This window comes from Homo sapiens, chromosome 5, assembly GCF_000001405.40.
Source record: "Homo sapiens chromosome 5, GRCh38.p14 Primary Assembly".
NCBI lineage: Eukaryota > Metazoa > Chordata > Mammalia > Primates > Hominidae > Homo > Homo sapiens.
Window position 1 is genome coordinate 172754548 of NC_000005.10, and position 12844 is coordinate 172767391.

The following is a 12844-nucleotide window of genomic DNA, read 5'->3' on the forward strand; positions in this document are numbered from 1 at the left end:
GAGCTAATGATAGTGCTCTGCTCCATGAAGTCCTTGTCAGACATATGAAGGGTCTGAGATTTCTTTTCTCCTACTTGCAAACTAACAACGAGCTTACCACAATTGCACAGATGCCAGCAGAAGACTCAGGACTCTTAGGTCAGAGACAAAGGACTTTATTACTCACAACACAGTAGGCAGCTCAAGCTTTATCTTTGCTCTGGTTTACTTGCCTCCTAAGTTCCATGGGGCTGGAGCAGGAGGCCCAGGTGGATCCTGTGCACACAGGGCTCATGTCAGAGCTGAGATATACTGAGCTTAGGAAACTCCTAATCTTATAAGCATAAGAGGCTGCTAACGAACCCGGTCAACATTCAACCTGGAGAAAGGCATTATCTTTATAATCCTGGTCAGGAAATAAATCTGTCCTCTGCTCCAGAGTGAGACACTATTCCTGCTCCCCCAGGCTATTTGTCATATAAACATCCTGAAAAGATGGTTCCACGCAAAAGGTGTCACAAGAGGTATAAGAATGCCATGGAGAATTGCCCCTCAACAGTCCTAAGGGAAGGAGACTCCCTCTGTCTTTCTGCTCTGCCGTCATTCCCGACATCACTTCATGGCTAAAAATGGCTGCCTCAGCTCCAGCCATCACTCTGTATTCCAGACCACAGGAAGGACAAAACAGGGAAGAAATGTATCAGCCCTCTCTTTAAGGACACTCCCTGGAAGTTGCACACACATTAGGTTTGACATTCAAACAGCTATGTCTGGCTGTAAGAGAGGCTGGGGAATGTGGACATATACCTGGCCAAAAGCCTATTACTAAGGAAGACTAGAGCCTGGGGAACAACCAGCCTTTCTGCTCTACATAGTCAGTGTCACAGTGGTCTGTGAATCTCTACATAGTCAGCATCACAATGGTCTGTCACAATGGTCTGTAAGTGGTCTATCAAGTGCTGAGGACACAGGACACATGAACCTTTATTCTAGGAGTCCTTGGGGGAGCTTCTCATTTAGTGCCATCCTTGGTACTTCCTACTTTCCCCAACCTTAAAGGGGATGTTAGGCCCCTGAGTGAGGGTGGGATTCACCCTTGTCTTGCCTGGTACAGTGGAAGGCCCTGCCAGGCTTAGGTCTTGGACCACACACTGTGTTAAACCTGAGCTGTGGGTAAGTCCTCTCCTTCTCCAGGCCTCAGCTACTCCCTCCAGGTGACATGGTGTATTAGTTTGTTTTGCATTGCTATAAAGGGATACCCAAGACTGGGTAATTTATAAAGAAAAGAGGTTTATTTGGCCCACAGCTCTGCAGGCTGTACAGGCAGCATGGTGCCAGCATCTGCTCAGCTTCTGGTGAGTCCTCTGGAAGCTTCTAGTCATGGTGGAAGCTAAAGGAAGGAGCCTGTGTATCAAATGGTGAGAGGGTACAAGAGGGAGAGGGAGGAAGGGCCAGGCTCTTTTAAATAGCCAGATCTCGGCAGGTGCAGTGGCTCATACCTATAATCCCAGCACTTAAGGAGGCCAAGGCAGGCAGATCACTTGGGGTCAGGAGTTCAAGACCAGCCTGGCCAACATGGTGAAATCCCGTCGGTACTAAATATACAAAAATTAGCCTGGCATGGTGGCAGTTGCCTATAATCCCAGCTACTGGAGAGGCTGAGGCAGGAGAATTGCTAGAACCCAGGAGGCAGAGATTGCAGTGAGCCGAGATCATGCCACTGCACTCCAGCCTGGGCAATAGAGTGAGACTCCATCTTAAAAAATATATAAATAAATAAATAAACAGCCAGATCACACGTGAACTCGTAGTCAGAACTCACTTGGCTGGGCACAGTGGCTCATGCCTGTAATCCCAGCACTTTGGGAGGCCGAGGCAGGCGGATCACTTGAGGTTAGGAGTTCAAGACCAGCTTGGCCAACATGGTGAAACCCTGTCTCTACTAAAAATACAAAAATTAGCCCGATGTGGTGGTGGGTGCCTGTAATCCCAGCTACTCAGGAGGCTGGGGCAGGAGAATCACTTGAACCCAGTAGGCGGAGTTTGCAGTGAGCCGAGATCAAGCCATTGCACTGTCCAGCCTGGGTGACAGAGCGAGACTCTGTCTCAAAAAAAAAAAAAAGAACTCACTCATTACCCCGAGGACAGCACCAAGCCATTCATGAGGGACGAACCCACCCCCATGGCCCAAACACCTCCCACTAGTCCCCACCTCCAATACTGGAGGTCACATTTCAAGGTGAGATTTGGAGGGGACAAAACATCCAAACTCTATCAATGGTTTGCTAAACGTGGCAATAATAATAAGCCCACCAAGCAGGCTAGATGGATGTACTAAATCAGTCACATATGTAAAGCAAATACTGGGTGAGACCTGTCTCAAAAAATAAAGCAGATAAGTAGGAATCTGAAGCCCAGAGAGGTGATGTAACTTGCTGAGAGTCACACAGCAAGGAAATGCTACACTTGGGGCTAGAACACAAAGCTGCTGCCTGAAGTCTTTGGCTATGGCTCAGAAAGTCTTAAGTCATTGATGATGATGAGGACACGACGAAGGAGAGTGGCCAGTGAAACCTACAACAGACCCTTCCTCTGGCTCATGGTGAAGGGAGAACAGCCTAAACTGCTCATCCGATGATGACATTGAGGGAAGCTGGGGCCAGCGGACAGGCTAGTGCTTTCCAGTCCTTCTTCCCGGCTGGTCATTTCCTTGGCTTCAGAGCAGCCCGGTGCCCACACTCTGAAACACCCACCGCAGGGGACACGGGGCTCTGATCCTTTTTGCGTAAAATAGCAGCATAAGGGCAGGGACCCTCATGAGGGCTCTTGGGAATTCAGTTCTAGGGAAGAAGGTTGGGCCTGGAACAAGTCCTGAGGCCTTTATTCCTCTTATAAAATCTATGGAACAGCAATAAATTGGCATCAGGTCATCCCTCGACACTTGAGATGGGAGTCCTTCCTGTGCCACGTGCTCAGCCTTCTAGGGCTCAAGGGTCACCTCTTCCAGGAAGCCTTCCTGTATTGTTCTCTCCTCTGCCCACTCTTCCCTGCATTTCTCCACCCCCTTGCTCTGCCCGCACCTCACCTACAGCCCCCAGATCACTGTGGCAAAATCATGGGCCAATGCATCAGTCTCCACCACTTGCCAGGAGAGCCTGAGGTCAGAAACCGTGTCTCTCCCATCCCTGTGCACCCAGCGTCCCATGCAGGGCCCGGCACTACTAATAGCTCAGTATGGTTGGTTCCCTGACTGAACTGTGGGCGGGAGCTAGAGCATGTGTCTCCACCAGAACTGTCTTCCAAAGCCTCCCTAGCAACACCCACAGCAGGACCCCAAACGCTGCCACTGCCTTGAGGCTCTTCCAGGCTGGTCATATCCTAGAAGGAGGTCCCTCGCCCACAAAGTGTTCCTTCATGTATTCAATCATTCACTTCCTCAACAATGTGCCTAGCCCTGCAGTGGGGGCTGGGGACACAGAAATGAAAAAGGCACAATCTTGCCCTCAGGTGGCTCACAGTCAGGTGAGGGAGGCCAAGACCCTCTCCCCTGCCTCCCTCCATCCTTGCCTGTCTTCCTTCTTCCTTTCCGTATGTATTTATTGGGCAGGAGACACACAACTACGCAGTGACAAGTGCCAGGAAGGTGGCTGTTGAGAGCTCTGCGGGAGTCCCGAGAAGAATCCCCAGCGGTCACTAGAGGCCTTGACGAAAGAGATTTCCAGGAGACTCAGCATAGATGTTGAATCTTCCTATTGGAGGAGAAGCTGTGAGTCATAAGCCCCGAGCAGCCCTACAGATTTCCCCATGAATCACTCACTGCCCTCTTCTCTTCGTTGGAGGCACACGCCATGGGGAATTCTCCTTCGGACGGGAGGGAGGAAATATGGGGGAAGTGGTAGGAGGACAGGGCTCAGAGTGGAGTCCCCGAAGTAGATTTTCCCATTATCTTTCTAGACCCAAAGCCCTGACCCCAGAAGCTGAGCCCCAGGATGGCCCCGGTCTTGAATAGCCAGGACCCTCGTGTGGCTTCCTGCTTACAAAGCGCTTTCACACACTTTATTTCATCTGCACACCACTGTGTGTTATGGGAAGGTCTCCAAGGGAAACTGCTTCATGAGGAAGGGAAAGAGGCTGGTCGAGCAGCAAAGAATCACTTCCGCCTAGCTTGGACCCAGGACCCACCCAGGAGGGAAGGGAATTGTCCGCAGCCTGCAAAGATCTTTCACTTATCCATCACATTCATTGAGCACTCCCCTGCACGCCAAGCACTGTTCTAAGGGCAGGATGGCCAAGGTCCAGGCAGAAAGAAGAGCATGGGGCCCAGTGCAGGAGTGAACGTTGCCAGCGCTAGATAAAGCAATGAGGCCAGGCTGGCTAGAAGAGACGAATGAGGGAGGAGAGTGGCAAAGATGCGGTCAGAGATGTGCAGCAAGATAGTATCAGGTCTTGTAGCCTTTGTTAGGATGTGTCTTTTAGCCTGAGTGAGATGGGAGCCATGAGAGGGTTTGAATAGAGGAGAAAAATTATCTGATATGCTAAAAGTTTCCCTCTGGATTTTTAAAAGCCCGACTCCCTTCTAGTCATGGCAGAGCACGGAATTCAGAACAATTCTACTGGTGAGGACAAGGTAAGTTGGACAAAATATTAACATATTTTCGTTTAAAGGCATTATGACACTAAAAGGCAGTGAGGAACTTTGGGACCAAGACCTGGGAAAAGAAAAGTCAGAGGGATGAGCTGGGCCCAGTAGCTCATACCTGTAATCCCAGCACATTGGGAGGCCGAGGCGGGTGGATCTCCTGAGTTCAGGAGTTCGAAACCAGCCTGACTAACATGGAGAAACCCTGTCTGTACTAAAAATACAAAATTAGCCGGGCGCAGTGGTGCATGCCTGTAGTCCTAGCTACTCGGGAGGCTGAAGCAGGAGAATGGCTTGCACCCGGGAGGTGGAGGTTGCAGTGAGCCGAGATCGCACCATTGCACTCTAGCCTGGGCAACAAGAGTGAAACTGTGCCTCAAGATGAAAGAAAGAAAGAAGAAAGAAAGAGAGAAAGAGAGAGAGAGAAAGAAAGGAGGGAGGGAGGGAGGGAGGGAGGAAGAGAGGGAGGAAAGGGAAGGAAGGAAGGAAGGAAGGTCGGTCAGAGGGATGAACACAGCCCTTGGGACCTCTTTTCCCCAAAGGGTATCTGCCAATTCTGAAATAAAAGGATCAAAGGCTGAGAAGTTGAGTGGAACTTTTAAAAGACTCATGGATCTAATGGGATGAAAGTTAAAGCTCAGGGCACACCAAGGGAGATCCTGGCACACCCCCATACTTTTGGGAGTATTACCCAAAAAAAAAAAAAAATCCAGGCTGGAGGGTCTGGTAGATTCACCAAGCTTTTAGTTGAAACTCCAAAGGGATACACCAATGGACTAAGAATGAACCAGTCATAACAGGATCTAAAGCCCAGCTTCAAGTCATCTCAACTCATCTCAATCTCTGCTTGGATTAAGGTGATGTGGGGTTCCTAACACCCCTAGACACCTCCTACAAATGGAAAATAACATTATCTTAAGCTTCAAATGATCTCTAAAATTTTTCATATACAATGCCTGACAACCAAAAATATGAGAAAATGAAACATAATCAAAAATCAAGAGAAAAAATAGGCAACAGAAATAAACACAAGGATCCAGATAGTTATTGGTTACACACATTAATTCTGTTTAATATGCTAAAGTATATAAATGGAGAAATAATAACTGAGATTTATCCAAGGCAAATGAAAGGAGAAATAATAACTGAGAATTATCCAAGGCAAATGAAAGGCATCAAACCACAGATTCAAAAACCCCATGAATCACAAGCAATATAAACAGGAAAAAAAAAACTATAGGCATATTATAAATAAAACTGCTAAAAGTCAAAAACAAAGAGAAATTCCTAAAGCAGAGAAAAAAGACAGATCACCCTCAGAGGGACAACAAGGCAGTTAGCTGACTTCTCAGCAGACGTAACAAGTCAGAAGACAATGGATTGTATCTTCAAAGTGATTAAATAAGGTCAAAACTTGAATTCTTTACCCAGGAAAAATTCTTCAATAATGAGGCCGGGCACAGTGGCTCACGCCTGTAATCCCAACACTTTGGGAGGCCAAGGCAGGTGGATCACCTGAGGTCAGGAGTTCGAGACCACCCTGGCCAACATGGTGAACCCCTGTCTCCACTAAAAATACAAAAATTAGCCGGGCAGTGTGGCAGACACCTGTAATCCCAGCTAATCAGGAGCCTGAGGCAGGAGAATCGCTTGAATCCAGGGGGATGGAGGTTGCAGTGAGCCAAGATCACACCACTGCACTCCAGCCTGGGTGACAGAGAGACTCCATCTAAAAAAAAAAAAAAAAAAATCTTCAATAATGAAGATAAAAACATTTGTAGGGAATTAGAAACTAGAATTTGTTCTCAGAAGCTAATGCCCTAAATGCAACACTAAAAGGATAGCTTTGCCTGCTGGTTGAAAATAGACATAGAGGGGCTGTGCTGAGGCAAGGAAGCCAGCTTGGAGGCTGCAACACTTTAGGCAATATATGATGGTGGCTGAACCGGAGAGGTAGGTTTGGTCTCAAACTCCTGGCATCAAGTGATCCTCCTGCCACGGCCTCCTAAAGTGCTAGGGTTACAGGCATGAGTCACCATGCCTAGCTCAGAGAAGTAGTTTTGGAAATGATGAGAAGTGATATATTTGGGAAATGGATGTGTTTGAAAGTGGACCTGTCTCAATTTGCCATTGAATTAAATATAGGTTATGAGGGAAAGGGAGGAGTCAAGGGTGTCTCCAAAGTTTTTGACCTGAACTAATGGAAGAATGAAGTTGCTATTAACAAAGGTGGGAAGACTACAGAAGGAGCTGGTTTTGGGTGACGCAAAGGTTTGTTTTTGGAATTGCCAAATTTGAGAGTCTATTTGACAAACAAATGGAAATGTCAAGGAAGCTACTGGCTATTCAAGTCTGCAGTTAGGGGAGAGGTCTAGGCTAGAGATATGAGTTTGTTTCCTTTTTTCATATTTCCCTTATAATGATGAAGATAATGACAATGATGGTTAAAATAGCTAACATTTATTCTTTACTATGTGTCAGGCACTGTGCAAAACATTTTATATATACTATTTCATTTCATCTTGACAGCTACCATGTGAAGTGAAGCAAATACTTTTTTTTTTTTTTTTTTTTGGAGATGGAGTTTCACTCTTGTTGCCGAGGCTGGAGTGTAATGGCGCAATCTCGGCTCACTGCAACCTCCGCCTCCCAGGTTTAAGTGATTCTCCTGCCTCAGCCTCCCAAGTAGCTGGGATTACAGGCATGCGCCACCATGCCTGGCTAATTTTGTATTTTTGGTGGAGACAGGGTTTCACCATGTTGGTCGGGCTGGTCTCGATCTCCTGAACTCAGGTGATCTGCCTGCCTCAGCCTCCCCAAGTACTGGGATTAACAGGTGTGAGCCACCGCACCTGGCCATGAAGTAAATACTTTAACTCCCTTTTTATTTATTTTATTTTATTTTATTTTTTTGACTTGCATCACCTTTTATTACACAAAATAGATTTCAGCCATGTTGCACATTCATTCTCGCTATAGATCTGGCTTTTAAAAAATCCCTAGGGATTCAGTCTCATCGATTTCATGATTTTCCTTTCATTGATGTCAGGCCTCTATTGTAGTCAGAGTCCTCTCAAAGGACAAAAGCAGATATGGCTGCCTTGGATCAGCTGCACGCAGTGCACTCCCGACCTGGCCGCTGGAGGCGCGGCTCCCATCACCTGCACCGCGACTGCTAGGGACTGTCAAAGCGGCAGCATGCCATCGCCTTCTCCAGCCCTTCTCCAGCAGCACAACCAGTCCTCCCAGCTGGTCCTCTGAGGACCAGCCGTCATGGCGACGTGGTGGCAATGTCCCCAGGCAGCCGACCATCCTGGGCTTCTCTTTGGACAGGCCTGGGCCAGGACCTTAGGGGATCTCTGTGTCCATGGTATAAATCTGAATGAGATCAGACACAATATTATCAATGATTGGCTTGGTAAGGTCTTCACCAAACACCTGCCACCACGGCTTCTCAGCCTTAACCTCGGCGGGCACCTCAACTCCGTAGACCTGCAGGGCCAGGTAGAGCACCGCCACCGCGATGTGCTGGGCCTGGAAACGGAGGCACAGACCCCCGTGGTAGCTGTCCCGCAACAGGGCCCAGGCAGTGACGGCAACCGGGGTCCGCTGCCAGCTGTGGCGGTTCAGAGTTTTTGAGGGAAACCAGGTAGTGGAGCAGGTACTTGTGTGGAAGCTGGAAGGAGACCTGGAAGCGCAGAACTCTCAGCATGAGAAGCTCACACTGCACAATGCTGTCCCGGAGCTCCCAGAAGCGGGATTCCAATTCCAGGGGCTCACCGCTCGGGTTAAAGTACCTGTTGGACACATTGATGATGTCATGAGTCCGCAGGTGCTGCTTTTCCGCTTTGCCGGCCAAGTAAATGGAAGACACGGCAATCAGGTAAGGGTCATAAGCGTCCAGGTTGGTATTGCAAAAGAACTTATGGTAAATGGTGCAAGCAGTGGCAATGGGAATGGACCTCATCCCTAGCTTGACACCTGCCTCCATGATGAACCTCGCCACTCGGAAGTGCACCCTGGCTTCGGGCGCCGGTTGCCCCTCGGGGCCCCGCGCTGCAGGCCCCCCTCCGCCGCCCTCCGGGGCTTCCATGAGGCCCGGCGGCCCCGGCGGAAGGAGAGGCTGCTTTGCGCGCAGAGGCCAGCAGAGCGGGGGGGGGGTGCTCGCCACTCCTCCGCCCCACCCCACACGAGGGTCCAACTCCCTTTTTAGAGATGTCAAAACTGAGGGTTTGAGAGGAGAAATAATCCACTCAAAGTCATACAGACACTAACTAGTTGGACCTATCAGTTTTGTCCCAGGTATTTGGAACAGAATCTCAAAATTTCCTTTGGTGGTATGATTTTCACATCTACTGAGTGTTTTACAAACCATGGGTACTTAAAATATGTTTATTGGATGAGTGAATGATTGGTGTCAATCTTGGTGAAACTTTTAAATCCCATCTTTGCAGTGTGCTCCACTGCAGAGGGCTGTGCAGGCTGGGAGGGAAGGAGGGCCCAGGGGTCAGAAGTATGCAGTCCCCCCCCGGCCCTTGTAGGGGAACCCATCCCTGCAAGAACCAGTCACATCTCCATAACACCAACCGACCTTCTGAAGGTCCAGGATCCCTCACTGCCTCTTCCCAGAAAGTGTCTATTTCCTTCCCACTTTGTCTCCCTGAACCAGCCTTCAGGAACCCTGGGGATTCCAGGACCCTCCCAAGTTTGGGTATGGAAGGGACTTAGCACTGGCAGATGGGTGGGAGAGGAGAATAGATGAGGTTCACCGCAGGTTCTTCTTACACATGAGGGTACGAGGCCCCGAAAGGGGAAGCAGCTTGCCCCAGGTTAGTGGAGCAGGGCTAGATGGGCTTAGAACAGAGGCCACTGCTCCAAAGCTCTGATGGCCTAGAGTAAAGCGTTGTCTGATGCGCGCCCAGGGTGTCACTTTGGTGAGGCAGCCCACTTTTGTGGGCGCTCAAGCACGAGCGCCCCTCCGGAGCGCTCCAGAGCCACTCCGGAGGGGCGCTCATGCTTGAGGGACAGAATAGGGAGCAGCTGAGTCACAAGAGAATATTACTGGGCCGTATTACAGATTGGGAAAACAGAGGTTAAAGAGTTTGATAGCAGGCCGGGCGCCGTGGCTCATGCCTGTAATCCTAGTACTTTAGGAGGCCCAGGCGGGTGGATCACAAGGTCAGGAGATCGAGACCATCCTGGCCAACCTGGTGAAACCCTGTCTCTACTAAAAATACAAAAATTAGCTGGGCGTGGTGGTGCGTGCCTGTAATCCCAGCTACTCAGGAGGCTGAGTCAGGAGAATCGCTTGAACCAGGGAGTCGGAGGTTGCAGTGAGCTGAGATTGCGCCACTGCACTCCAGCCTAGCGGCAGAGCAAGCGTCCATCTCAAAAAAAAAAAAAAAAAAGAGTTTGATAGCTTACACACCACTAACAGGTGGCAGAGTCAGGACTTGAACGCAGGTCTAGCCAACTCCAATTCACACGCTGTATCCACTGGTCCACAAACATACCTCTCAAACATCAGGTCTTTGCTGCTCTCCTGGCCTTGGAGCCCTCTTTCCAGTTCACCTCTCAAATGGGCAACTGGGTTATATCATTCAGGTCTTAGTTTATCCTGCCTTCATAGCCTTCATCCTTATCTTATTTTGTGATTATCTTATTTCTATAACCCACCCATATATAGTGCCATGAGACGGCAAGTGACAAAGTAAAATTACTTTTGCTGTTTAGCGAAAATAGCAAAAGTAATTTTAGCTACTTATAAGTAGGAATTTTGTCTTGCACCAAAGTATCCCCTGAGACTATACTTATCAATATTTGTTGAACACATGAATGAATGAATGAATGAACGAATGAGTGAATGAATGCGTGGGCCTCCTGCCTAGCTTTAAAAGCCACATTCAAGGAAAAGGTGGCTATGAGCTTATCTTCCTTGGCAGAGCAGTTTTGTCCACTGTGGCGCTAGCAGAGAGCACACCCTTTGTTCTCCACGGGGTGGAAGACACCTCCTCGGTGGGCAGAGGGGAGCAGGGCTGCTGGTCTGCACCTACAGGCTGTTCTCAAACAGGCTCACCCCGCAGAGCTCTGGAAACGAGGTGAGCAGCCCTCCCACCTGCTCTCCAGAAAGCAACCTGCAGAGAAAAACAGCCCGGGTTGACCTGGATCCACCCGGCGGGCGCGGGGAGGGGCCGCAGCGGCATTGTTTGCCTCTGTGTATGGCAACCAGAAACCACGGCAGCCAGCACTTCTCAGAGGCACCCCGCCCCCCTTTATTTTAATCTCCTAAACTGATTTGTCAGCAGCAGGAAGTGACATGACAGCTTTCCTCACAAAAGGGAAACTCCTCCGCGTTACCATGGGGATGGAGGCCACTGTAGGATCACAGATTTATATAATCTTAAAGGTGTACACACAATGATGTCATCCTCTGACGGGCCAGGGGAGGGAGGGAAAGGGACGCCAGAGGCTGCAAGTCCAAAGCAAATTAGCTACGATTTGCAAAATTCCAAGGAGAGGATGCGGTGGAGGTGGGGGAGGGGGAGTGTTAGAGGTATTATAATGAAATAATGGGTGCCTGGAAACCACAGAAAAGCATAATGTATGCATTGATGCATTTTCTACATCCCAGAATTAGAGAGATGGGAAGAACAGTACTCAGATCCAGTGCAAATTGGTCATTTTACGGGGTGGGAAAACTGAGCCAGAAGAACTGCCAGAAGCCATTAGGACAGAGACAAGGGGATGGAAACATTTCTCCACGGCCCACTGTGTGCCAGGCACTTTACATTCATCAGCCCATGTCTTTCTCACAAGTGAGCCTCAGTTTTGTCCTCTGTAAAATGGGTATTGCTGTCAAAGGTTACTTAACCTTAGCAGTACCTGGCACACAGTGCTCACTCTAAAACTGGCAACCATCATTGCCACATTATCAGTATTAAAAGTCTTATTTCAATCTCTTCCTGGGAAACACATTAATAGACTTTAAGTATCTTTCATCACGAGGTATTAATTTTTTCCCAAGGAAAGCAGTCTGAGGCCAAATATGAGATTTTTCTGGAGGGTCTGAACACAGTGACTCCGGTACATGGGGATCAGGGGTCATCATTCCTGGCTCTCAGGGCTGGCATGAGGCAGAGTGGCTTGAGCCGGGAGAAGTGAGTGACTTGTTTTCACTGGCGGCTCCCTTAGGCAGCCGCTGTATTTTTCCACTGCGTGGATCACACTGGAGATTAATTTTGGTTCAGCCAGTGCCTGCCAAGCAGAAAGCGAAGGCCCTAGCCCACGGGGAAGTCAGCCATGGCATCTGTCACAGACTCGATGTCGCTGGTACATTTCCACGGAGAGAGATATTTACAATAGTAAATTTCTAGGCTTTGATAAAAACACTGGGTACGATTTGTTTTGATAGGCATGAACATACTTGTAATCGGAAACCCAGCTGAGGAAATGAGCTTGCCAGCCCAGGGTAAGTTCTTAGAACTTAGAACACAGGGATCTTTCAGACCCTGGGAGTCAAGTGGCAGACAGTGAGCCACAGGGGCAAAGTCAAGGACACTGATTCTGCGTAAAGACCTTGAACAACAGGACAGGACCAGAACCATAGCACAGGGTGCTCATGGATAAGGCGAATGGGATATTTCCTTTTCTGCTTCCCATAGCACTTTGTCCAGAAACAAAGAGTGGGGTGGGGCGCTAAGGGGCCAGTAATCCAAGAGCTTCGCTGTTTCTTAACGCAACATTATAGACTGGATTATGGATTGGTAGCAATTACATCTCTTCTGTTTTTTGCCTGCTTGGCAAAGGAGTACAAATTCAGAATATTATCCTAGAACAAGTCAGGTTTAATTGCTTATCTCAACAAAACTATGAAATCAGAGCAGCAGGTGACATGAAGGAGGCAACTACCAAAAATGCCATGTCTATATGCAGAAATGCCAGCGTGAATGTCCTCCACAATGTTAGCAATGGTCAGGTTGGGGATGGGCTGTTGCGGGTGATTTCTTTACATGGTATTTGCTTATAGTGCTTGGATTTTTTTTCTTTCTTTTTTTTTTTTTTTGCCAATGTATTTAAATTTTCACAAAAACAAAAGCCTTTTTAAAAGCAAAAAGATAGGTCAGGAGTTCGAGACCAGCCTGGCCAACATGGTGAAACCCCCATCTCTACTAAAAATACAAAAATTAGCCGGGCATGGTGACGCGCACCCGTAATCCCAGCTACTTA

At 48.6% G+C, this 12844-nt stretch overlaps 1 long non-coding RNA gene and 1 pseudogene across 1 annotated transcript, besides 1 other annotated feature; one reads left to right on the forward strand and one right to left on the reverse strand.

The window, feature by feature from the left end:
* Positions 1 to 955: 955 nt before the first annotated feature.
* On the forward strand, positions 956 to 8015 carry LOC101928093 (uncharacterized). Its single transcript, NR_161233.1, has 4 exons — positions 956 to 1152; positions 3587 to 3745; positions 4544 to 4606; positions 7668 to 8015. It is a non-coding gene; the product is annotated as an uncharacterized LOC101928093 (long non-coding RNA).
* LOC401218 (cyclin Q pseudogene) lies at positions 7530 to 8775 on the reverse strand (annotated as a pseudogene).
* Positions 10867 to 11086: an enhancer, noted in NCBI's record as "active region_23642". NCBI's record gives its function as "activates an Ori minimal core promoter by ATAC-STARR-seq in GM12878 lymphoblastoid cells {active_cell/tissue: GM12878}" and the evidence as "EXISTENCE:reporter gene assay evidence [ECO:0000049][PMID:35858748]".